General features: G+C 34.5%; 1 protein-coding gene across 5 annotated transcripts in view; it reads left to right on the top strand.

Moving 5' to 3' along the window:
* The window catches only part of CDH12 (cadherin 12), a 1,102,672-nt gene that overhangs the window by 421,312 nt on the left and 653,414 nt on the right, over positions 1-27,946 (top strand). For 3 of the 5 annotated variants that reach the window (NM_004061.5, NM_001364105.2, XM_047416602.1), the window contains one exon: positions 26,682-26,776. The exons of the other annotated variants lie outside the window; for them this stretch is intronic. The gene's annotated coding sequence lies outside the window, so the exon portion shown is untranslated. The remainder of the gene's footprint in view (positions 1-26,681; positions 26,777-27,946) is intronic. 5 annotated transcript variants of the gene reach the window in all.

Below are 27,946 nucleotides of genomic sequence, written 5' to 3'. Positions count from 1 at the left end.
GAACGCCTAGGGTGAGTGAATTTGAACGCCTAGGGCATTACTGTATACTACTGTAAACTTGATGAACACCAAAGTTATATTTTTGTTCTTAAACAATAAATTGATGTAAGCTTACTGTACCTTCTTTACTTTATAAAATTTATTTTTTAACTTTTCTACTCTCTTTCATAATACTTAGATTAAAACACAAACATGTTGTGCAGCTGCACAAAAATATTTTCTTTATGTCCTTATTCTATAAGCTTTTTCTGTTTCTTTTTACTTTTTAAACTATTTATGTTAAAAATAAAGACACAAACACACACACATTGGCCTAGGCCTTCACCAGGTCAGCATCATCAACATCACTGTCTTTCACCTCCACATCTTGTCCCAGGGGCACTTACATGCATTGAGTTGTCATCTCTTATGATAACAATGCCTTCTTGTGGAATATGTCCTGAATGACCTGCCTGACGTTGTGTAAACTAATTTTTTAATAAGTAGAAGGAGTCCACTCTAAAATACTTGTAAAAAGAATAGTATAGTAAATACATAAGCCAGTGGCAAGGTTGTTTATTATCCAGTATTCTGTACTCTACATAATTGTATGTGCTGTTACTTTTATACCATTCGCAGTAGAGTAGGTTTGTTTACACCAGCATCGCCACAAATACATGAGTAGTGCTTTGTGCTGAAATGTTATGATGGCTACGTTGCCACTAGAACAATAGGAATTTTTCAGCCCCATCATAAACGTATAGGACTGTCATTTTATATGGATCCATTGTTGACTAAAATGTTAGTATGGGGAGTACGACCATATGTGATTTGAGTGGCTTAATATATTTGATTGCTGTGTGCCTATACATTGTTCTGCTAGTCAATTGAGAATCATAATGAAATACACATTTCCCATTTAACTTGGATGACGCAATTGAAAACAACTGAGCTATTTTTGTAATCCGTAACTCAATGGATAAAGGAGAAATATACCAAATTAACCATGCTTTTAAGGCTACTGCAGGAATATAAGCATAGTAACCTTACTAATAACATGTTCACACTTGTTCATATAAATAGACTACCTTGTCATATGCCTGGTAAATATTTTAAGATTCACTCTAGCTTACTTGAAGTAAAATCAGCAACTTACTACAAAGAAACTGCTAAAGAATCTTTAACCTGCAAGAGATTGGAAATGAGCTACTTGCTAAGAAAAAAAAAAAGTAGTTTCTAATTTTAGCTGCTTGGCTGATAAGAAGGACCAAAACAAATCATCACTGGCTGTTCCATTATATACAAGAGTAAGCAATTTCATTGGCCAATATTTCTATTGTATAATAGCCACTTATTCCAGGTAGAAATTCCCAATTGCCTAGTAACAATTTGTTGCAGTATACCTACTCAGAGTTAGCATATGCCAGGGAATACAGGAGGAGATGCGGATGTACTCTTGCAGCTGATTTTCAATAACTGCAGCACTCAGGGAGGAAAAAAAGAATTGAGAAGAAATTGTGAAACATGCTAAGTAAATAAAGTTAGAGTTTAAAATTTTTTCCTTGTATTTTTATCACAATTTCCTATTTTCTATTTCAATTCTGCTAATTTTTCAAACAAATTTACCAAAAACCAAATATTTATATGTGATTTTTTTTTTACTCTGTTTTATGGGTACTATGTAGCCACCAGTTTCCTTCTTCTCTTTAACTGAGAGATGAATCACCAAAAATTCTTTTATCTCTCTGATGTGTACCGTGAGGTTCAAGTGATCCCATGAGGTTCACATGATCCCCATTATCTCTGGAAAGCACTACTAATTTGAACACCTCCAATTGCTAAAGTTTCTGGAGCATGCAAAGAGTACACTAAGTCAGTGGGAGATTACTTCTAACAAATTGATTTAGCAGAAAATCACTCCCCATTAGGATTGTAAGTATTTAAGGTATTTTCTCAAGTAGTAAAAGTATCTTAGGGGGTATATAAAAGGAAAATGGAAAAATAGTCTTGATCATGCAAATGGTAGTTACCATCTGTAACCAATAGATTACCCTGGGATAATTATGGAGGTATTGTCACACTGAGTTTATATTAATCTCTTTCAGCTTTCATATCTAATTATATGGCCATCAACATTAATTGTGTATTCTTCTTCTCTCATTCAAAGATGCTATGACTTTGAATAGGCCAATTAATTATACAAAACCAATTGTTTCAGTGTCACACATACTAACAACCTAGCAACTTCCAAATTTGTCAGGAGAGCTTTGTGTAGATGTTGTCAAGATGACAGAAGCCAACAGACTGTGATAGGAATAACTTAGCATTAAACATCACTATTTCAAAAAATGAGTAATCTCTACAGACAACTTTTTATTAAATTTACCTAATAAATTCATGTTTAGTTTATGGAGGGTTTATTAAGTGATAATACAACACTATGCATATATACAGTGCTACCATGGAAATGATAGGATGGTGCTGATGGCAGAAATAAGGAAACAAGAAGGGTCATAGAAAGATGTGCATAACTAGTAATAGCTAAAATATTATTTTTAAAAGAAATTTTTCCCTTGAGGTTGAGTATAAAGCAGAGTTTTAAAAGAAGTTGAGATAGCCAGGCACAGTGGCTCACACCTGTAATACCAGCACTTTGGGAGGCCCAAGTGGGCAGATCACCTGAATCCAGGAATTCAAGAACAACCTGGGCAACATGGCAAAAAAGTGTCTCTAAAAAAAATGCAAAAAAACAAAAGTAGCCAGAAGTGGTTGTGCATGACTGTAGTCCCATCTACTCAGGAGGCTGAGGTGGGAGGATCCAGTGAGCCCAGGAGGGTGGGGGCTGCATGAGTCATGATCGCACCACTGTACTCCAGCCTGGTCAACAAAACAAGGCCTGTCTTAGAAAATAAAATAAAATAAAATAAAATAAAATAAAATAAAATAAAATAGAATAAAAGTGGGATATTAACTGACGGGAAATTTGAGGCTAACCAAAAGGTGAATCAGAAGCTTCAGAAATTATAATAAATATATTTTACATGAGGAATAGTGAGAGGACAATTTCTTCTTAGTTGAGTTTCAGTAAAAATGTGATGTGAAAACAATGGTATAAGGTTGGCCTGAGCTTTTTAAAGCCTTGAGGATCATATGACTTTGATTTGAGGTCATCGGGAATCATCAACATATCCCTAAAGGCAGGCTGTTCTCCCAGTTTCATAGAGGATTTTTATGAAGGCTGGTGTGTGGATATGCTAGAAGAGAGAAGCAACCTGCTATACACTCAAGGTAGATTGACGACTGGGCCAGACAACTGACTGTGTTAGACCTGCTTTCCACTTTTCTCTTCCTCAGTTTCTTCATCTGCTCCGATTGCAATGCCTCTGGTGTTGGACCCAGGGCTAAGCACATAGTAAAGGACAAAAATCAAACTAACAGGAAACCTATCTACATCTATCTGTCGTGTATTTATATCACTGTCGTTGATCTAGTCACATCAGTTTCTTGGCTATAAATAATTTTAAGGTAAAGCACATAAATTTGATAGTTTCAACATCTCTTTCTCTATAAACACATACACACACATACATATCACACACACACACACATATATATATATGTGTATTCCTCTATAAAATTTTGGAAACACTGCAATAAACCATTTATCATGTGTATATTCCAGTATAACATTAATGTTCATACTCCATGTAAAAGAAAGGATAAAATATAGACTTTTAATGGAGATTGAGAGTTTCCGCTATAGATAAAAATGGATATATGATATCTATATATACATATGCTCACAAATATATGCACATAGATTGTGTGTGTGTGTGTGTGTGTGTGTATATATATATACATATGTGTGTATTTCTATCTATCTGTCATCTATATATCTATCTATGGAGTTTTATAGAATATTTCCTTTCAGAATTGGGCTCAAAGAAAGCTGTTATACATGGAGCTTGCTCTTCAATGTAACCACTGAAATTTTAAGGCTATAAAATAAAGAATAACTGGGTCCAGTTAAGTAAACACTATAGTAGAACCTACTAGTAGTCCCTCGATATGTGTTCTTCTTTTCTTTTATAGTAATAGAACCTTCAACTTTTAGCTCTGCATGTTCTTTCCCAGAATAAAAATGATATTTCACAAAATGACTTTTTTTTGGGTGAAGCTAGGAGTGCCTACTTCTAAACAATGGAAAGAAAGCAGATGTGTCCTATACAGCTTGGGAACCTTCGATAAAATAGACATGATACAACTTGTGCTTGTTCTCATTTTCTCCGCCTTCTCTCCTCCATTCCTGCTTATTGTAATGTGAGTGTGATGGATTGATATCTAGCAACCTTTTTTAACCACATTCTAGGGATATCAGACCATGAACTAGAAAAGGCCTTAACTCTTGAAGTCCCTTAAATTTATTCACCAAATAAAAGTCAATGTATCTACTGGATGTCTTGCAGGAACTTACTATAGAAATAGAGTAAAGACAAAGAAAAAGGAAAGCAAATAGAACACAGCTCTGTATTAAATCGTTTTAGTTCTATGGCTAAGTGGTCTAGTTCAGATAAAAAGTATTCCTTTTGGTCAGATGCAGTGGCTCATGCCTGTAATCCCAGCAATTTGGGAGGCTGTGGTGGGTGGATTACAAGGTCAAGAGATCAAGACCAGCCTGGCCAACGTGGTGAAACCCCGTCTCTACTAAAAATATAAAAATTAGCCGGGCGTGGTGGTGCGTGCCTGTAGTCCCAGCTACTTGAGAGGCTGAGTCAGGAGAATAGCTTGAACCCAGGAGGCGGAGGTTGCAGTGAGCTGAGATCATGCCACTGCACTCCAGCCTGGGTGACAGAGCAAGACTCCATCTCAAAAAAAAAGTATTCCCTTTATTCTCTAAAAGTATAGGGTTTGTACAAATAATTGATAGTGACTTAATCTTCACCCACTTATCCAGATATCCATCTCTAAAAGAGGAAAGAAGAGGAGGCAAAAAGTTATCACAGGGGAGAGAAAAGTGGTGAAGGAAAGAGGGGAAGAGAAAAGATAAATGGGAGAGGGGTGTGGAAGAGAAAAAGAGATAGAGGGTAGACGAAGGGGTTAGAGAGAGAGAGATGTTGAGGTCATGGTGGGAAGAATGAGAAAAAGAAAACATTTTGTTCTGTGAAATATCAGAATTAGTTTGTTTAGGTAGGAAATGCATCAGGTAAAACATCAAAGTCTTACAGTGTGGCTTTCCTAAAAGTCCCATTTTCTCTACCATGTATAATAATACAAGTGAAAGATGACTGTGGTGATATAACTAACTACAATGTGAGAAAAAAGTTCACTTTTAATTATAGGAGATAATTGTTCAAACTGATTGATATATTAAAATTATATTTAGGTTTATTTGTATTGCCAGCAAATTAAATAAATCCATCTGTATGCCTATAATAGCTACACTAAATAACTCCAGTATATTTATCCACAAACTAAATATTTAGTTAAATATTTGACTTACCTTTTTTGAAGGCAACTAGAATATTCGGGGGGTTCTTGCCTATCATTTTGTGTTTTATTTACTCCAGTAGATTTTGTCTCATGGGAAGTCAAATATTAAGGTAGTTATAAATAGAAAAGAACTATAAATTGACCATAGGCATAATACAATATTATATTTATGTGTAGTTTATGGAAATTCATTTTATTCTTTGATAACAAACAAACACAACAATATAAAAAATAAAATAAAACAATATAAAAATAAAATAAAACACAACAATATAAAAAATAAAATAGATTGGAACAGTTGTGGAACAAAATTAAATAAGACACCTGAAAAAGATAGTAGCTTTTATGTATCCTTTTTTTTTTTTTTTTCTTTTTTTTGAGATGGATTCTCCCTGTGTCACCAGGCTGGAGTGCAGTGGTGCGATCTCGGCTCACTGCAAACTCTGCCTCCCAGGTTCAAGCAATTCTCCTGCGTCAGCCTCCTGAGTAGCTGGAACTACAGGCGCCCGCCACCACACCCAGCTAATTTTTGTATTTTTAGTAGATACGGGGTTTCATCATGTTGGCCAGGGTGGTCTCGATTCCTTGACCTTGTGATCCGCTCACCTCAGCCTCCCAAACAATAGCACTGGATGGCATGGTATGCAAATGTGTGGAAATGAGATTTTCTAGAATGTTTGTGTTGACGATCCAGGAACATGTGAACCTGTGTCTGAACTTCTACAGCATACTTAGTGGTGTGCACCTCTGTGCGTGTCTGTACCAGGTAATTTGATTTTATGTAATTGCTAAATGAGAATATTCTTACCTTTAAATAAACTTAATGAAACAATAAATAATTTTTATTTTGATTTTTATATATAAGTAATATAAATTAAGAAAGTAAAGATCATTCTTCATGTGAAAAAATACAAGGTACAATCTTAACTAATACATTTTAGATATGTGAGCTATGTAATGTATTAAAGTGTATATATTTCTTCAAAGAAAACTGACGAACTATATTGTCATCGGTTGCTACTCATATCATATTTCATATTATAAGTGTAATTTATGTTTGAATACAAAATAGTTCAAACTATTTTTAGCACACCGCCTTCATATAATGACGCTGTGCTACAGGAACTGCCAGATCTCCCATTGATGCATTTCAGTACGACAGGGTAAAAAATAAATAAGTACACAGTACACTCGTTGACACACTATTATTAAGGCAAAAGAAAACCAGATAAAGTAAACAAAATAAAATGTAAACTACCACACTCACAAAACCATAAGAATAACAAACCTGGAAATAGCCTAGCTATTGTTAGTAAAAATGAATTATGAGGCCAATATCATGGAATCCTATGCATTTATTTAAAAGGAAAGAAGTATATATATATATATATTTATATATATATATATATACACACACACATATATATAATTTTACATATATATCATTTCATATGTAAAAATTCTCTCTCTCTCTCTCTCTCTCTCTATATATATATATATAAATGTAAAAATTCTCTAGCCTCTATCCAGTAAAAAAGCAATGTGCAGATATATCATGTATGGAAGAAATACCTATTTTAAATTTAATTTTCTTGATATAACTATATTTTTGTTTGGCATATTTTATATTCAAAATGAGTTTTAAACAGTTCATTTTTATGTCATATCTGATTAAAAGTCTTATTTATTCTTTATTTCTAAGATTTTATTATTTGTGGCTATGTTATGGTTATAAGCAAATCAATCAATATAGATATTCCATTAAATAAGATATAAAGAACAGATATAAAAGAATACTGTAGGAGATTAAACGAGTAAGACTATATAAGGTAGAGCAAGGCATAGGGAATTCAAAACGAAGGAATCTCATGAGCAAAGAATAATACAATTATTTGTAAGGAACACTGAAGAGTCCGTGAAGAGGGAACATACCATGTGTATCGGTTAACTCTGGTTGAATAACAAAGCCTGCACAATTAAATGGTTAAAAACAAATATTTATGGAATTCATGATTCTGAAGGCTGGTAAGTTCGGTGGGCTCAGTTGCATAGACTTTCTGGTGGCAGTTGGTCTTACATAGGTTTCTGTGGCCAGTTACCACTCAGTTGAGGCTGGCTGCCTTTGAGCTCGATCAGCAGGGGTAACTGGGCCATATAGCTCTCACCTCCAGTGTATTACCCTGGAGTTTTTCACATGTTGTCTTTCACAAAGTTCTGAAAAGCAACAAGAAAGAAACGCCGTACTCTGCAAGTGCTTTTACATCCTCTGATTATATCCTATTTGTTGTTAATCCCTTGGCCAAATTAAGGGATAGGCACAAGCCCAGAGACAGAGTAAGATCCCATTCACAGATACATGGTAAGAAGATGTAGGCACACAAGGAGGAAGAATTTGTGGTGAATTGTACAGCCTACCACATCTGGTGCTCTGGACATTTAAATTTAAATTTAAATATTTAATAAATAAATTTTCGTGGATACCTCAAGCATAATGCAGTCACCCTCTTTTTTTTTTCTTTCTTTTTCTTTTCTTTTCTTTTTTTTTTTTTTTTTTTTTTTTTGAGACAGAGTCTCGCTCTGTCGCCCAGGCTGGAGTGCAGTGGCGGGATCTCGGCTCACTGCAAGCTCCGCCTCCCAGGTTCACGCCATTCTCCTGCCTCAGCCACCCAAGTAGCCGGGACTACAGGCGCCCGCCAACACGCCCGGCTAATTTTTTGTATTTTTAGTAGAGACGGGGTTTCACCGTGTTAGCCAGGATGGTCTCCATCTCCTGACCTCGTGATCCACCCGCCGCGGACTCCCAAAGTGCTGGGATTACACGCTTGAGCCGCTGCGCCCGGCCAGTCATCCCTTTCACTACCACAAAAAGTGGCATCCAATCACAGCATCAGGCTTGAAGTTTGGGATCTCATAATCTCTATGATATTTCACTTGGCTTTTTGAATTCTGTTGTTTTTGATCAAGTAACTGTCTCTCTTTCCCTACATGCGTACAAACACTAAGTACACAATTGTGAGACAAGAATAGCTTTTCTACAATAGACCTATCCCACATTCAAAAAGTGTCAGGATGGTAAGAAACACAAAGTGACTTGTTCCTAGTTATTCTGAAATCCCCAGGGGAAATATTGCCAGGATTACCTACTCTGGAGCACGAGTTTTTCTAGACTGGATCCCAGTTCTGATCTCTCAGAGTGGCTCCAAGTCTCTTGGTTTCTGCACATCTCAGGAGTGGTTCTCAGATTCTCAGAAGTAGTATTTGCATAGCTGGTATGCCATAGGTCCTTTTAAGGGGGCCCAAATAAAAGCTATCTTCATAAGTTCGCTAGGGTATTATTTGCTTTTTTTTTTTTTTTTTACTGTGTTTACATTTGTACTGATGATTGAAAAACAATGGTGTGTAAAATTAGCACAAATTGTGATGGAGATAACCTCCACCAAGGGTATTCTTCACCAACACACACACAAAAGGGAAGAAAACCAGTTTTACTTTGTCCTTGTTGAAATCACACAATTATTAAATTTCAACCCTCTAGTATTTGATAGCACAATTGGGTGACTATAGTCAATAACAGTATTCAATGATTTAATATACTCTGTCATGAAATGGGAATTATGCATAAAGAACATTTGCTACATATTGAAGTGTAACACTTCTATCAAGAAAAATAATATATATAATGGAGTTCCAATCCGAATTACAGCAGATTTTCTTCCTGGAATCTAGTTTTTTACTCAAATGGATAACTGACAACCTATGACAATTCAGACTGAGGTATTTCATGGATAATTTATTGAAAATGAATGCCCATCTGTAACTTCAAGAAGGACAAATGACTGTATTTGTAGCCAATGACAAAATTTGAGCTTTTGGCACATATTTGAATTTAAGACAAATTTTTCCCACCATCACAAGCTTGCCAGGTTCTCAATATATAAAAAAATCTTTTTATTAGATCCATGGTAATATTATACAAGTGTTATTTGTTGATATCGTATCATGCAATGTGTCATCATTTACAACAAAAAAAGGAAACCTTAGGCCAATCCTTCTGATGAACATCAATGCAAATATCTTCAAAAAAATACTGGCAAACCGAATTCAACAGCACATCAGAAAGATTATCCACCATGATCAAGTATGCAAGCCTGGTTCAACATATGCAAATTAATAAATGCGATTCATAATATAAACAGAACTAAAGAAAAAAACTGCATAATTATCTCAATAGATGCAGAAGAAGCCTTCTATAAAATTCAACATCCCTTCAGGTGAAAGACTCTCATTAAACTAGGTATTAATGGAACCTACCTCAAAATAGTAAGAGTCATTTATGACTCTTACTATTTAAACCCACAGGTAATATCATACTGAATAGGCAAAAGCTGGAAGCATTCCCCTTGAAAACTGGCATAAGACAAAATGCCCTCTCTCACCACTCCTATTCACCGTAGTATTAGAAGCTCTGGCCATGGCCATCAGGCAAGAGAAAGAAAGAAAGAGAATTCAAAGAGAAATAAAGAGTATTCAACCCCATCAAAAATTGGGCAAAGGATGTAAACAGACACTTCTCAAAAGAAGACATTTATGCAGCCAACCAACATATGAAAAAAAGCTCATCATCACTGGTCATTAGAGAAATGCAAGTCAAAACCAAAATGAGATACCTTCTCACACCAGTTAGAATGGTGATCATTAAAAAGTCAGTAAACAACAGATGCTGGAGAGGATGTGGGGAAACAGGAATGCTTTTACACTGTCGGTGGGACTGTAAACTAGTTCAACCATTGTGGAAGACAGTGTGGTGATTCCTCAAGGATCTAGAACCAGAAATACCATTTGGCCCAGCAATCCCATTACAGGACATATACCCAAAGGACTTTAAAACATTTTGCTATAAAGACACATGTACACGTATGTTTATTGCAGCACTGTTCACAATAGCAAAGACTTGGAACCAATCCAACTGCCTGTCAGTGATAGACTGGATAAATAAAAGATGGCACATATACACCATGGAATACTATGCAGCCATAAAAAAGGATGAGTTCATGTCCTTTGCAGGGATATGGATGAAGCTGGAAACTATCATTCTCAGCGAAATAACAAAAGAACAGAAAACCAAACACCGCATGTTCTCATTCATAGGTGGGAGTTGAACAATGAGAACACATGGACACAGGGAAGGGAACATCACATACTGGGGCCTGTCAGGGAGTGCAGGTTAGGGGAGGGCTAGCATTAGGAGAAATACCTAATGTAGATGACAGATTGATGGGTGCAGCAAACCACCATGGCACGTGTATACCTGTGTAACAAAACTGCAGGTTCTGCACATGTATCCCAGAACTTAAAGTATAATAAAAAAATTTTAAAAAGAAATAAAAGGTATTCAGATAGGAAGAGAGGAAGTCAAACTGTCTCTGTTTGCAGATTACATGATCCTATATCTAGAAAACCCGACCATCTCAGCCCAAAAGCTTCTTAAGCTGATAAACAACTTTTCAGCAAAGTCTCAGAATTCAAAATTAATGTGAAAAAATTACAAGCATTCCTTTACATCAACAATAGACAAGCAGAGAGCCAAATCATGAATGAACTCTCATTCACAATTGCTACAAAAAGAATAAAATACCTATGAATACAGCTAACAAGGGATGTGAAGGACCTCTTCAAGAACTACAAACCACTGCTCAAGGAAATCAGAGAGGACACAAACAAATGGAAAAACATTCTATGCTCACAGATAGAAACAATCAATATCATAAAGATGACCATACTGCTGAAAGTAATTTATAGATTCAATGATATTCCCATTAAACTACCATTGACATTCTTCACAGACTTATAAAAAACTACTTTAAAATTAATAGTTTAAAAGTATTTTGAATTTTATTCAAAAAATCAGCCTGTATAGCCGAGACAATCTTAAGGAAAAAGAAAAGGCTGGAAGCATCACACTAACAAACTTCAAACTATACTATAAGGCAAGAGTAACCAAAACAGCATGGTGCTGGTACAAAAACAGACACATAGACCAATGGAATAGTATAGAGATCTAAGGAATAAGACCACACATCTATAATCATCCAGTCTTTGACAAATCTGACAAAAACAAACAATGGGGAAAGGATTCTCTATTTAATAATGGTGCTGGGCAAACTGGATAGCCATACGAAGAAAATTGAAACTGGACCCCTTCTTTACTCCTTATACAAAAATTAACTAAAAATGGATTAAAGACTTAAATGTAAAACCCAAAACTATAAATACCCTAGAAGAAAATCTAGGCCATACCATTCAGGACATAGACATGGGCAAAGATTTCATGAAGAAAACGTCAAAAGCAATTGCAACAAAAGCAAAAATTGACCAATGGGATATAATTAAACTAAAGAGCTTCTACACAGCAAAAGAAAATAGCATCAGAGTGAACAGACAACCTACAGAATAGGAGAAAATTTTGAAATGTATCCATCTGACAAAGGTTTGATATCCAGAATCTACAAGTAACTTAAACAAATTTACAACACACACACACACCAAAACAAACAAACAAACAAAAAAAAACCCCATTAAAATATGGGCAAAGGACAAGAACAGACATTTATCAAAAGAAGACATTTATGTGGCCAACAAACATGAGAAAAAGTTCAACATCACTGATCATCAGAGAAATGCAAATCAGAACCACAATGCCATACCATCTCATGCCAGACAGAATGGTGATTACTAAAAAGTCAAGAAACAGCAGATGCTGGTGAGGCTGTGGAGAAATAGGAATGCTTTTACAGTTTTGGTGGAAATGTAAATTAGTGCAACCATTGTGGAAAACAGTATGGCAATTCCTCAAATACCTACAGCTGGAAATACCATTTAACTCAGCAATCCCATCACTGGCTATATACCCAAAGCAATATAAATCATTCTATTATAAAGACACAAGCACATGTATGTTCACTGCAGCGCTATTTACAATAACAAAGGCATGGATTCAATCCAAAAGCCCATCAATGATAGACTGGATAAAGAAAATGTGGTACATATACACCATGGAATACTATGCAGCCATAGGAACAAGATCATGACCTTGGCAGGGACATGGAAGGAGGTAGAAGCCATTACCCTCAGCAAACTAACACAGGAACAGAAAACCTAATACCACATGTTCCCACTTATAGGTGGGAGCTTAACAATGAGAACACATGGACACAGGGAGGGGAACAACACACACTGGGGCCTGTCAGGGGGTGCAGGGGAAGGGAGATCATCAAGACAAATAGCTAATGCATGTGGGGCTTAATGTCTAGGTGATGGGTTGATAGATGCAGCAAACCACCAAAGCACACCCGTGTTTACCGGTGTAACAAACTTGCACGTCCTGCCCATGTATCCCAGAATTTAAATCCAGCAGCACATCAAAAAGCTTATCCACCACAATCAAGTCAGCTTCATCCCTGGAATGCAAGCCCGGTTCAACATACACAAATCAATAAATGTAATCCATCACATAAGCAGAACCAATACAAAAACCACATGATTATCTCAATAGATGCAGAAAAGACCTTCGACAAACTTCAACACCCCTTCATGCTAAAAACTCTCAATAAACTAGGTACTGATGGAACATATCTCAAAATAAGAAAAGCTATTTATATTTATTTATTTATTTATTTTTGTTTTTTGAGTCTCACTCTTGTAGCCCAGGCTGGAGTGCAGTGGTGTGATCTCAGCTCAATGCAACCTCCGCCTCCCAGGTTCAAGCAATTCTCCTGCCTCAGCCTCTTGAGTAGCTGGGATTACAGGAGCCTGCCACCATGCCGGGCTAGTTTTTGTAGTTTCAATAGAGACGAGTTTTCACCATGTTGGCCAGGCTGGTCTCGAATTCCTGACCTCAAGTGAACCTCCCGCTTTGGCCTCCCAAAATGCTGGGATTACAGGCGCGAGCTACCGTGCCGGGCCAATAAGAGTTATTTATGACAAACCCACAGCCATATCATACTGAATGGGCAAAAATTGGAAGCATTCCCTTTGAAAACCGGCACAAGACAAGGATACCCTCTCTCACCACTCCTATTCAACAGAATATTGGAAGTTCTGGCCAGGGCAATCAGGCAAGAGAAAGAAATAAAGGTATTCAAATAGGAAGAGAGGAAGTCAAATTGTGTCTGTTTGCAGATGACATGATTGTATATTTAGAAAACTCCACCATCTCAGCCCCAAATCTCCTTAAGCTGATAAGTAACTTCAGCAAAGTCTCAGGATACAAAATCAATGTGCAAAAATCACAAGCATTCTTATACACCAATAATAGACAAACAAAGAGCCAAATCGTGAGTGAACTCCCATTCACAATTGCTACAAAGAGACTAAAATACCTAGGAATATAACTTACAAGGGATGTAAAGGACCTCTTCAAGGAGAACTACAAACCACCTCTCAAGGAAATCAGAGAGGACACAAATGGAAAAACATTCCAGTCTCATGGGTAGGAGAATCAATATTGTGAAAATGGCCATACTGCCCAAAGTAATTTATAGATTCAAAGCTATCCCTATTAAGAACTTAAAATAAAATTAAATAAAGTTTTTAAAAAGGGTACACAAATAAATTACCCGCATTTCCAGGTAACCCATGTATGGTATCCCAAAACCATGAATAGCAACAGATCTATTCAAACTGCAAGGTAATGGTATGGATTTTAAGAGTCCGTGACTTTTCAAGTTTTGAGCTATTATTAGATAAGAATATCCAAAATAATGTAAAAAGGTTATGAAAATACACTTCCATTTTTATTCTATATATTTATCAGAGGCCATATTTTCTTTATATATTTCAACCACAGCAACATATCACAACTGATAGAATGCAGAAGAATGCATGAGAATTCAGATTTATTCTATTTATTCTATCATAAAAAAAGACTTGCTGTCCTACTTTGTTTGGTGCCACTATAACAAAATACTTGAGACTAGATATTTGTAAGAATGAAGATGCATTTCTTATAGTTCCAGAATTGGGGAAGTCCAGGATGAAGGAACTCATATCTGGCGAGGGCCTTCTTGCTACGTCATCCCATAGTGAAAGGCGGAAATGTGAAAGAGTAGGCATGAAAGAAAGAAAGAAAAGGAAAGAGGCTGGATGAGGCTGAAATCATCCTTTTATCAGCAACTCACTCCTGAACTTATCCAGTCCCCCAGTAATTGCATCAATGCATTCAGAAAGGCACGACCCTCATAACCTAATCACCTCTTGAAGGTCCTAACTCTCAACCCTGTTGCATTGGACATTAAGCTTCAGATACTTGAACTTTAGTGGACCCATTGAAACCATAGCACCTGAAAATGTAAAACAATGCTACTTTCTCTACTCAAATTATTATGTTTATTTTTTCTTAAAATGCAAAATGATATCAGTTAGTAGGTTTATTATTGTTTTAAATAAACATTTTCAATTCACAGTTTTAATATCTAATTGGTAAATAAGAGAGATAAAAGAATCAAAAGAATGAAAAGCTCTCTGGAGCCTAAATAATATATATGAGAACAAAGAAGTCTTGAGACTAATATGTTTAAGAACATCAAATGTAGTCCATAATTATCTTTAGCCCATGGCTATAATCTTTGAAAGGATCATTTTCATTAAAAAATATCTTAAATTTGTAGCTGAAGAGCTTTCTAATTCTGACTACAAAAGATAGAAAGTTAAAACCGTACAGTCCTGTCTTGGTGTTAAACTTAGTCTCTTTCAATTTCAGATGGCAGGACAATTCCCTTAAAAACATTGCAAATTTCTTATTTGGGTCCTTGCTATGACCTAAAAACCACACTTACAATTCCTTTTAAGGTAAGCTTCTTTCTACTTTGGGTGGCCAGGCTAGTGTAATACTAATCTTATTTTTTTTATGTATTCCTTTCTTTTTCTAGCTGGGAGGTTATACCACTCACTGACAAAATCTTTCAAAGGTCTCAACCAAGTGTATTGCAGCTACACTTTTGATTTGATCTTTAACCTGAGGTCATTTGTACTTCCTTTCTGGTTTGAAAAATGGGGATTGAGAATGAGTTTAAATTTCCAATGCACGCCAATAACTCATCCTTCTCTTTCTGAGCATTACCATACGTAGTATATAGATGTCCACTGGCACTTTTTATCATATTCCAGAAAAATCACCTTATCAAGACCTACAGGCCGGGCGCGGTGGCTCACGCTTGTAATCCCAGCACTTTGGGAGGCCGAGGCGGGCGGATCACGAGGTCAGGAGATCGAGACCATCCTGGCTAACACGGTGAAACCCCGTCTCTACTAAAAATACAAAAAAATTAGCCGGGCGTGGTGGCGGGCGCCTGTAGTCCCAGCTACTCGGGAGGCTGAGGCAGGAGAATGGCGTGAACCTGGGAGGCGGAGCTTGTAGTGAGCCGAGATTGCGCCACTGCACTCCCGCCTGGGCCACAGAGCGAGACTCCGTCTCAAAAAAAAAAAAAAAAAAAAAAAAAAAAAAAAGACCTACAAGTACATTACACTTGTTTTATATTTCAATTTAAAACAGGGAACAGTTTTTACCATTTTTTCCACAACTATATAATCTGGGTCACCATTTAGCAAATCTACTTTAGCAGTTTACTCTCTGCTTTCGTAGTTCAATTTTTTTTTTTATTGTTTTGTTTGGGATAGTATCAAGTCTTTGCTGACAATTTCCTAGACTCTTTTGTATTGCCAACCAAAACCTGATCCTGAATCCAATGCCAAATGTTTTAGGATATTTTTAATAGTAGCACCCCACTCCTAGAACCAATTTTTGTATCAGTAAAACTTGTGATACATAATATAACATTTGTGTATCTTTTAATTCTTTGTTGGTACTTTGATTGCTCTCAGACTCAAGTGGGTTCACTCATTTTTCTGGGGCCCGCTGCCTCTCAGCAGGGCAGCCCTGTTCCTAATGAAAGTACCTGGGCCATTTGTTTTTCATTTTTCAACAAGCCAGCCTGGGCTTCTTCAGTGAATAGTATTCATAGGAATCCCAAAACAGCAAGAAAGAGGACAAATCACACTATGTAAGAACTTTTCAAGCCTTTGTTACTGTCATTTTCATTGACATCTCATTGAACAAGGCAAGTCACATGACTGGACCCACAATCATAATGGAAAGCAAAGTTTCACAGAGGTGAGTATGGACACAAAAGGGGGAAGAATGTGTGGCCATTTTTGCAGATTTACCATAAAGCAATATTGAGTTATTCTCTAATACTGTGGACAGCTTGTTCTTTTTAAAAATTAAGTTTTAAAATTATAATGGGAATTACTTCCCATATGTGTCAATTTTCAAAAAAAAACATTGTGTCAATTTTCCCCTTTATTATTTCTTTATTACTTATTTTTAGGCACTTTAAAAATACTACCTGAGCTACTTATAGAATGAATACAAATATCTAAACATTTTCAACATTTGGCCATTTTATTTTAGTATTGCTTTCATGCTAATCTGCAAAGTCTAAAAGTTTAAGAGATTATATTTGCAATGGAGATGTGTATCCACCCTATATGTGAGCTGATACATATTTTAGTAATAGAAATGAGTCATCTAAGTTTTGTCTACTAAAGGGATATATTTGTTACTAAATAAGCAGCCTTCATTTGACTTTTGTAACCCTACATAATGTTATTAGTTGTATTAAAAACATATTTAATTAACTCAAATTATTTTAAAATAGTCTTCTAAAGCTTTTTTTCACTTTTTTGTTTCTATTAAAATTTTTATCATTAGAAAAAGTAAGTCCAAAACTGCATTTCATTTTATTTTAGAAATTTAATAATTAAAATATAATAATTATGGTTGAAACTATAACTAATAATATGCAATGTGCTTTTCATTTACTGAATCAGTAATTCAATAAAATTACCATAGCAAAGGTTTTCATTTTAAATATATAAATTACCTGAAATAATGTTAACAATTAGAAATTTTTCATGAGTACAAGGAAAAATTAATTTCTATGAGAACCTTACATTTCAACCCTACCCCACTAAGAATTTAAGCTACCAATACCTCTTTGCTTTTGAAAGATTCTATTATTGTCTATCAATTATTGTATAGAAATATGGCACATATAATGCAAAATCTTTAGTGGAAGGAAAAATTTTACTTTGACATATTGAACTGGTTAATCTTTATTCAAACAACAATGTCAAAATATTGCAAGAGTTTGAATAAGGGAAGTCCTCCTATCATTAAAACAGTAATTGATAGAGGTTAACATCATATGTCTAAATATCATTTTGCATCTTTCTGATAACCAAATAAGTGCAGAATCAAATGGACAAATTGAATTCATGTACATTCATTTTTTAAAAATATTTCTTTTGATTATGTAGAGTTATGTTTGCAGACCTCCATTGAGTTTTAATTCTAGGTATTCTTGCCTATGGAATTAGCTCAAATATTTTCAGTTTGGAACAAAACATACAATTATAAATGTGAAATATGTTCAGTTATGTACTCACACAAATTATAAACATAAATTATCTGATTAAAAATTATTTTGTTTGAATTTGAGGACTAAATGTAATTAATAATCAGCCTGAAGAAAATTTTTATTTAAAAGTTTTTGAAAAGCAAAAAGTATAAAACATAAGTGATGTATAAAGAGAGAGAGAAAGGGCATTCAATATTATGTGTGAAGAAAAGAAAACTTAGATTCAATTTGAATTATTTTCTCCAAAATAGTGACATTAAGTTATTAAAAACTCTGAGAAAAATTAACAAATTGAAAAATCGGGAAAAAAAGTAAATAAAATAGCAGAAAGCTGATAAAGTAATGTGAATAAACTTTCTATATGTATGTGTGTCTATATGCTATGCTAATGTAAAGAAATGCTATTATTTTAAAACACAATTTTGCCTTAAGCCCATATGCCATAGCTATTTTTCTGCAGCTTTTCAGCACAGCCAGATTTGTTGAAATATAACTATGAAAATATTATGTCTGCATCCTCACTGCCCGTTTATTCACTTTTCAAAGCAATATAATTTTACTTCGACCCCTATCCTTCCACAGATACCTCTGTAAAAATAGTCACTCATAACTTTCATGTTGGTATAGTCAAAATTACTTAACAGTTTTGTGGCATTTTCGGCTTTTGTCCACTCTTTCTTGTTGTTATTCTGATCTCTCACTATTCTCCTTAGCACTCTGTCCTAGTTTTCTTATAAATCTTCTAGCCATGTTTATCCAACATCTTTGCCTTGTTCTTAAATTCTAATGCATTTTGAGCTTACTACTTTTCCCCTTTGGACTTTTCATGCCATACATTTTCCCTGGGAGATGGTCTTTCCCTCACATAGCTGCAAAAATCGTTTAAATTTTGATGATTCTCAAATCTGTATCTCTACCTCTCTATCTCTATCCTCAAACTTTTCTCAGTGTGGGAACTGGACAGGAGTAGTAAACAAAGTTAAGCACATAAAATATTGAATGGAATATTGAATAATAGCAAAAGCAATGACATATTTAACTTTCTACAAGAGTTATTGTGAATGAAAGAGAAAGATGTCAATGAAAGACAATGATAGCTGATTCCATAGTAACATAGGCTGGAAGGAGGATTATTCTGATGATGGATGAACATCAACTATTTTAATATTTTGATGGAAGCAGGCAGAAAAAGGGAAACATTAAAAATACAATAGACTATGAATTACAGATGGAGCAGAATCCCTGCAGAGGAAAGAATAGAGGTATAAAGCACAGGTGGAGGAAATGTCCTTTGGCATAAAAAGGTACATTATTTCCTCAAAGAAAAGATTGAAACATGGATGCTTGTTTATACAGAGTTATAGTATAGCCTAAGTGTGCCCATGGCCGTCTCACCTCAATATTAAGCAGCTTTTTATATTATATGACTTTTTCTTCACTTAACTCTGCCACAGTTTCCTCCTCAATAATGTATATGACATATACACAATCTTTCTTATGATTGTGATTAAAGTCATATAAAACAGAGAAAACCTGTAAATGACAAAGATATTTATAAACAATAAAATCACAAATAACTGTTTTGATAAAGAAAAAGTGTTTAGCTTATGGAGGTGGGTTTTTATTCACCATTTTTGTGTGCTATAGCCCTATTCAGAATGACATTCTAATAATGATTAACTGTAATAGTTAACGGTGTGTGGTCCTATAAAATAAACCGAAAGACATGAAACATTTCTGAATTGCAATAGAACTTTGAAATCTAATTCAGTTGACTTATAGCAGATGGACACAGGCTGAGTAATGTATGTTTTTATAGTAATATCATGTGAATATGATGATTGGCATTCGTCTTAAAACCCAGCAATATGTTTTTACCTCTACTGGAATTAGAATGGTGGAAGCTAGCTGATTGTTATGCATTATAAAGGCAGGAAGACAGTGATGGCATGAATACTGCTATTTTCTTGGAAAGATGATCAAAATTTGACAGATGTCTCTCTGTGAAATTTCTGTCTGTCTACCTATGATGGTGTAGGAATAAATTTTTTAATTAGAAACAATTGTGCTTTAAAAGCACATTGCACATTAACTTGTATATTCTATTTTCATTTACAAACTGAATACGAGGAATGCCTTTAGAGAAGAAAACCAAAACATTACAACTGAGAAAACAGAATTAAATCTTTATCCAGTTAATCAAATTTAGTCATCAAGCCAACAGAGAAATTGATGAGGTAGTCTCTGAAGTATTCATAAAAATTCACACAAACCTATCCTCTAAAATGATTATTTTCCGGGAAGCTATGTAAGAACCAGGGCTCTTTTATTAAAGTGTAACATCAATTAAAGCTGTCTTGTCTAGATTTCTAAAATATATCAGCAAAAATGCTGGGTCAAAACTATGTGAGTGAAAAAATAAATACACTCTTCAATAATATAATTCAATCAATTTCGTTGGTTTGATTACTACAGCTTATGTATTTTTCTTAAATTGTCCTCTGGGGAAATATAATGTTGAAATATAGTGAAATAGCTTTAATCTTTTGAGCTCGAATTATGCTGACTGAAATATCTTTATGAAGGTTTATTTATGCTTAAAAATCACATGGTGAAGTTTACCATGAAGATCTGCAGATCTCATGGACTGTCAGAAAGATTAAGGTGTGAAACCTCTTTCCTACCATTTACTAATCATACTATTTAAGTAAATGACTTCAGGGAACCTCAGTTTATCATCCATAAAATTAAAATGATGATTCCTATCTGCTTGATGTATTGTAATAATTAGCAATACTATACAGTCCCTGGATTATAGTTTTCCATTGGTATATAGAATTTATTAATATGCAGTTTTATACTATGTAATACATTTCATATGTTTTTAATTTATAAATGGATTTTTATAGGTGAAATAAACTCATTATTTTGATTTTTCCTTTTCTATTTTATTTCTTGCCTTTATTTCCATTATATATCTTTGTATATACCTGACCAATTTATCTCTACATACTTTACAATCAGAGGTGTCAACATTCCTTTTTGTAGAGTACAATTATCCCCAAAATTATGTTCTTTTTCCTCTAAATTCCATCTTTTCCATATCCTAGACTCACTTTTATTTCCATTTTTAAAAATCTATTTCATTGTTCTCATAATCTTGGCCAACTGGAAACACAGATTTCTTTGCCACTCCTTCCCCCAGCCTTCATTGGGTCAGCTGCTATCTCTCCTCTTTTAGAATGTCTCTTCTATCTCAGAGTTTGTTTGCATAAAATTTAACATACAAAATCTCTTCTGTATCCCAAACATGTTTTTTTAAAGAATAATCTTCTTCATGTCTAGCATTATGTTCTTTATTGAAATTGAAGGGGCCAAGAGGAATTGGCCCTCTGAAGGTTTGCTGAAAAATCAACTTGCAAAAGGCAGATTAATTAGAGAAAAAACATGCAAATTTATTTAATATGTATAAATGAGAGCCTTCAGAACAAAGACCCAAATATACAGGGGAAATGGTCTATTTTTATACTTAGGATCAACAAAATATAGATAGCCATGTAGAAGTATGATTGGACAGAAAGGATATGATCTAATGCTGTGAGTGGGGAAACCCAGCAAAACCTCTCTGTGCAGATTCTTCTTGGCCTCTCTCAGTGACATTTCTTCCCTGCGAGTCTGGGGCAGGACCTTCTCTGGAATGGAAGTCTTATGACCTACAGTCAAACAAGATAGGTCAGATAATTTTTTATGGCCAGTTTTTACACAGAAAGGCAGAGGGAATGTTAGAGTAATATTTTTAGGTTTTATGGTTGGCTCTGGGGAAAACGGATTCTGGTTTTTATGACCTACCTTGGGGAAGAAGGATTTTTGTTTCTGTGCCTATCCTTGGGGGAGAATGGAACTGAGAGACAGGAGGGCAGGAGAAGGTCAGAGATAAACTTTTGCTTCTGTGGCTTTCATTTTGAGGTATTGTTCTCTGAGCCCCAACAAAGTAACATGCAGGCTTTTTATCCTGTCATTTTTACTATTCACAATCAAATCAAAATCTGTTTTAATTAAACTAGTGAGAAAAATTGTAATAAAAAATAATTTGTATTATCATCATGTTTATAAAGTAGAAATCATCATCCGCACTTTTATAATGCCACCATGTACCAGGTAATCTAAGCATTTATCTTCGAGCTGTAAATAAATAACACTAATTGATCCAGACACCCTTCCCCAGAACTACCACTCTCAGCCTCAAAACCCTTATTAACACCATGCTCAGGCTGACCACTAGTCATGGGGTAGGAGTGGTAAGAAGGCTTTAGCCTATCCTTTTCTCCAAAACAATTAAGCTTCTTTGCTGTATTTCAGTATCTCATCACACCACTGAAATTATATTAATTTTGTAGAAGAAACATTGAGTAGAATCAATAGCTTAGTCCTCAATTATAATATAGAAGAAACTTAAAACATTATTTAAGCAGAAGAAAGACCCTCACCATTGGTTGTTAACATGGATTTTTGTCACAAGAAAGAGAAAAGTATTATGACTCTAGAGTTATGCTGTATTTTTTTCAAATCAATATAATATGGTATTCCAAACCAAATAATTAGTGATATCCTAAACTTGGAAAATAAGCTAGTTTTCAATTGGTTTTGAATTGGAGAAATAAGAAATAAGAATAATTGAAATATGGGGTATCTTTCTCTTTTTATTTTATTATATTTTTAATTTATAGACACTCTTTGTATATGCACTCAGACCTTAGAAACATGCTGTGCTACAAGTGTATACCTCAGATAAGAAGACTTAAAAATACAAGTGAAACCATATGTAAGCAGTTTCTCTAGAAGGAGAAGAAAAATACAATTTTAAATGTCAAAGAGGCTTGGCTCTTTTGGAAGCCTTTAATATCAAGACGAGAGTGCTAAGAGTATACTCTAACTCTTTAAAAACTTACATATGAGACTTTTACTATCTTATTTTCCTTGCACAAAAGATACCTTTAAATATTTGCAGGGGATCCCTAAGGATGCATTTTGCTGTATATGTAGATAATTTTCTGGAAGTTTTTATTAAGATACTAATATAAATATTCTAGCCTACAGCATATGGTTTAATACTTATGGTGATAGGTAAGTCAGTATGCCTTATTGTAGAATACTGATAGGAAATATTCAGAAAGCATTAATTATCTACTGCAAAAAATTCACTTAATTATTCATTGGAAACAAAATTGTCCACCATCATGGGGGAAAATAAAATGAAGATAGAAGAATTGATTTAGTAGTATAATTGATTTTATTATTTTAGGTCTTTAAAATGTGGTGGAATCTATTTTTTTCCAGGTGTTTTGACTTCAGTGATATTGAGTCTAATTTAGTGATGTGGGCAGCAATACATTCATGAACATTTACATGTGCACACATAATGCATATGCAATTAATATATTAATATAATGCATGTGTACTATATATGTAATTTACAATTACATATAATGTATATATAGTATATATAATAATATGCATATATAAATAGATGATATAATATCCATTTTGAATTCTTCAATGTTACTTGGCAGTGAGTTGAAGTTTCCAGATTGCTTCTGTTGCTCCTGGTCGTAAGGTTGCCAGATATTTTGAAGAATGTCTTAAAACTGAGTTTGACTAAGAAAAACATGCACATTGGATAGGTGACTTACGTTGGTTCAACTATTTTGAAAAAAAGGACAGAGACCGAGGACACTTATTTAGGATCCTTTTGTGTCAGGTTATCCCTCATTATATTGTCAGACACATTGATTTCAATAACCCCCACCCCTAAAAGCAATTGTCTCTGAAACTCTATCTATGATTTCTTGACTTTAAGAATCTATCTTGTTTAGCCACAGCTTTTATAAACAGAGATAAAAGTGGAAAACACATCATTTTGCTATAGGTTTTGCTGAAATGTGCTTCATTGTTAAAGATAGTCCACCTAGTCCATATGACTGTTGATGCCAGTGATTAATGAGGCTTTACACTCAAAACTTTATGAAAACTAAAAATAAACTGACTGAAATGGGAAGATTTTGAGAATGTAGTGACTGTGAAAAACTTACTATGTACCATCCCAAAACTCACAGTCCTGTTGAGAGATAGAGAAGGCGATAGGCTATTTCTACACAGTACAGTAATTTGTGAGGAAACGTAAAAAAGCATCCTGTATGAAGGTATAATTGAACAGGTAGTCTAATCAGACATGGAGTCTAATCTAGGCAGAGAAAATGAAGGTTTACCGAAGAAAGGACAGGTAATTGTTTGAGTGTAAGTAAAGTGACAGAAGAGAAGAGATGAGAATTATAAATGAAAATATATTCCCAAAGTCCTTGAGCAAACTAGTGGTTTTTGCACTGCTTAGGTGTAGTGTGCAAACAGTTTAACTCCTCCTAAACTCATTATGCAGGTAGCTGGTGAAAGATGATGACAGGTAAGCTTGAAGTACATCGGGCTCATGCAGAGAGCCATGGGGAAAGATAAAAAGGATTTAATTAGGCAGTGCTATGATCAACTTGGGATTCAAAAAAAAATCATCTTTTACGGTAGAGTGCAGAAATAATTAGAGAGTAATAGAAAACTTAGAGTTGGGGAAGATTAGTAACTTAAACAGGATATCGTAATGGTATTAACTGACATAATAATTTGGTGGAGAAAATGAAGTGGATTTTAAACTATTGAGAACATTGAAGATGGGATTTGGTAATATCTTGGCTATGACTAATATGGGAGGAGAAGAAATCAAAGGGTGCCACAAAGAACTGGAGTTTAGGAAATTGGATGAATTATAGTAGTGCCTCTCATTAAAATATGCAATCATAGGAGAAGACATTTGTGAGAGACAGGGTGAATAATTAACTTAAATGATAATTTTTGAGTTTGAGATGTCAATGGCACCTTCAAGGGAAATATGAATAGGCTGCTGGATATAATGTGTACATTGATGTACAATTTTACTTAGAGATTCAGATTGAATTTTTTTTCTAGTGACAAACACTAAAAAAAGAACAGAATTGAAGCCAAAGTATTCAATTTCTCATTACTTAGAATTAAGTAAGTGACCATAGCCAAGTATAAATAAAATAATGTATTTGATCTGATTTATATTCTTTCATATTTGCTGTTTCTTCTTTCATTATGAATTTGTATAAATATGTTGCTTTATTTTCTCAAGGCTTATACTCATATACTTGGTATTAGTTAATTACAAGTTTGGATTCTTTCAACTGTGATGCATATTGTTCCCCATATTGTTCCCTTTAAGTGTACTTTTCAAAGAGCTTTTTTTGAACAATCTGAAAAATCCACATTCAATAAACAGATAATGAAATTTATCTGTATTACCACATGCTTAGCTACTATCAGTCTCTCTAATCTTAGAAGCTTTGTTCAGAATATTCTCTAAATATGTTAATTTGGATCATTGTTTTTGCATGTAATTGGCTTTTCAAAAATCTATTACCCTTTAGGGAAAATAATATCTTTTCTTCTTTCTGGTGGAAAGAATAATATATTTTTTATCTGGTGGAAAGAGTCATATTTTGAGAGACGGTATCAGCTTAAAACAAATTTCCAGATTCAAAAATCACAAACATTATAACCCTCTCAAATATATTCCTGTAAACTGTAGCTGAGGAATACAATTAATTGGTTTACCTTTAATATCATGCAGGCTGCATTATCATGTCAATGACTGCAAGTTAGGGTAGTGAAGAGATTACAGGATTGACGATACCTAGTATTGAGTGATGACTCTCGTCATTGCAGTTCAGCTAACTATTAATTGAGTCCCTCCTTCCCTAAAAGTTGTTTTCATTTCAATAATGTCAAAAAGAGTCCTCGACTTGCCAACCTAGGAAGGTTGTTGTAATGATTAAAGTTAAAAAGCGAGTATGTTTATGAAAGCATTTTATAATCTGTAACTACAATATAAATACAATCTATCCTCTGTATCTGTGGATTCTGTACCTATGGATTCAACCAGTATTGAATTGAATATATTTAATCATAGACTGAATATATGCTTTAAAAAATTGCATCCGTAATGAATATGTACAAACATTTTTACTTGCCATTATTTCCTAAATAATCCAGTATAACTACTATTTACATAGAATTTGCATTCTATTATGCATTATAAGTAATCTAGAGATGATTTAAAGTATATGGGAAGATGTGTGTAGGCTATATGCAAATACTATGCCATTTTATATTAGGAACTTGAACATCTGTGAATCTTGGTATCTGTAGGAGGTCCTGGAACCAAGTCTGCCACAGATCCTGAGGGACGACTGTAACAAGAAATGTCATTACAGTGCTGGCTTTGCTCTTGTATTTAGAAACTTATGAGCTACCAGGTCTGTTTGTTTAATGCAGTTGACTCCATTCTGTCACCATTAAGTCACGTTGAATGATTGGAACTAAATTTATTGTTTAAACCATTTTATTTCTCATTCTGCCTACCATTTTCTCTTTCTTAGGCAATGCTGATTAGGATGTGGGCTTTTTTATTTTTTCCAGAGAGTTACTATCTTTGGCCTGATAGAATTTTGTTTAGAGAAATCTTCTTTGGTTATGAATTATAATATGTGAGAGATTTCAAAGTTTCATAGAGATGTGTCAACCAAATATTCTGGGAAGGCTGAATTAATGATGCACAGAATACAGAGAGTCTTGCATATTCTTAAAGCATTTTCTTTACATATTTTTCAGCTTTGATGTCCAGTGCTATAGAATCAAGTTACTGTGGAGGTCAAAACAATTTGAGATACATAAGCTGGCCTTAGAAAATAAATTGCCTCTAACTTGTAAGTAAATTGATTGTTATGATTTTTTCTTTATTTTTTATTTTTTTTAAAGACAGTTTCACTCTTTCACCCAGACTGGAGTGAAGTGGCACCATCTCGGCTCACTGCAGCCTCCACCTCCTAGGTTCAAGCCATTTTCCTGCCTCAGTCTCCCGAGTAGCTGGGATTACAGGCGCCCACCACCACGCCTGGCTAATTTTTGTATTTATAGTAGAAATGGGGTTCTGCCATGTTGGCCAGGCTGGTCTTGAACTCCTGACCTCAGGTGATCCACCTGCTTTGGCCTCCCAAAGAGCTGGAATTATAGGCGTGAGCCACTGTGCCCAGTTGATTATTATGTTTTGAATATACATATAAAACCATGAAGAGTCATTAATTTAAAAATATTCCTCATAGATAAATTCTCATGGTCACATATGTTAATTTGTAATGTCTTAAAATTGTTACAACACTGTGCTAGTTACCAAGAATATCCAGGGGAAACACAGAAACGCTGGCATTCCTTAAATGCAGGCCTCTAATTGCAAAAGTTGTTTCCTCAAACACATACTTCCTTTGTAATTATTCTTTCCTCACTCATTTCTACAGGTATTGTAGCTTACAATATATCATGTTAAAGGTCTAGTCATTACCTTGATGCATGAGATTCATTTTACTGGTTAGAAAGCCATGGCTGTTATAGCAGTTTTAATCAAATACATAATTTAGGCAAGTATGTAAGAACATTTTTCTACACATTAATATCCTTCTTTGATGTTGCTTTTATGAATGTTAGCTAAGAAAACAACAAAAAAAAGGGCAGGCTTCTTGATGAGAAGGATAAAATAAACTGTTAAATACTAAGCCAAGTTTATTTTTTGTATCACTAAAGTGAATTCTGGAGCTTGTAACATACCAAATGTATAGAGACTGTATATTGGAAAGAAGAGCTGAAAGAAAATCAGGAATTTTTATTCTAAGCAAAACTTTATCCTAATCTAAATAGGTGAGTTTGTGCTTTGAGTTTCCTCTATTCAAAATGAGGGGTTTAGATTGCCAGACCTCAAAAAAAAATTGTGTGTGTGTGTGTGTAAATTTATAAAATATATATTATTTTTAAGGCAATTGACTTAGAGCTTCCTAATGTTTGCTAGCACAGATTGCATATTACATACAAATATGTCTGATAAT

This window comes from Homo sapiens, chromosome 5, assembly GCF_000001405.40.
Source record: "Homo sapiens chromosome 5, GRCh38.p14 Primary Assembly".
Taxonomy (NCBI): domain Eukaryota; kingdom Metazoa; phylum Chordata; class Mammalia; order Primates; family Hominidae; genus Homo; species Homo sapiens.
Note: the sequence above shows the minus strand (reverse complement) of the source record. Positions and strands in the feature narration are given on the sequence as shown.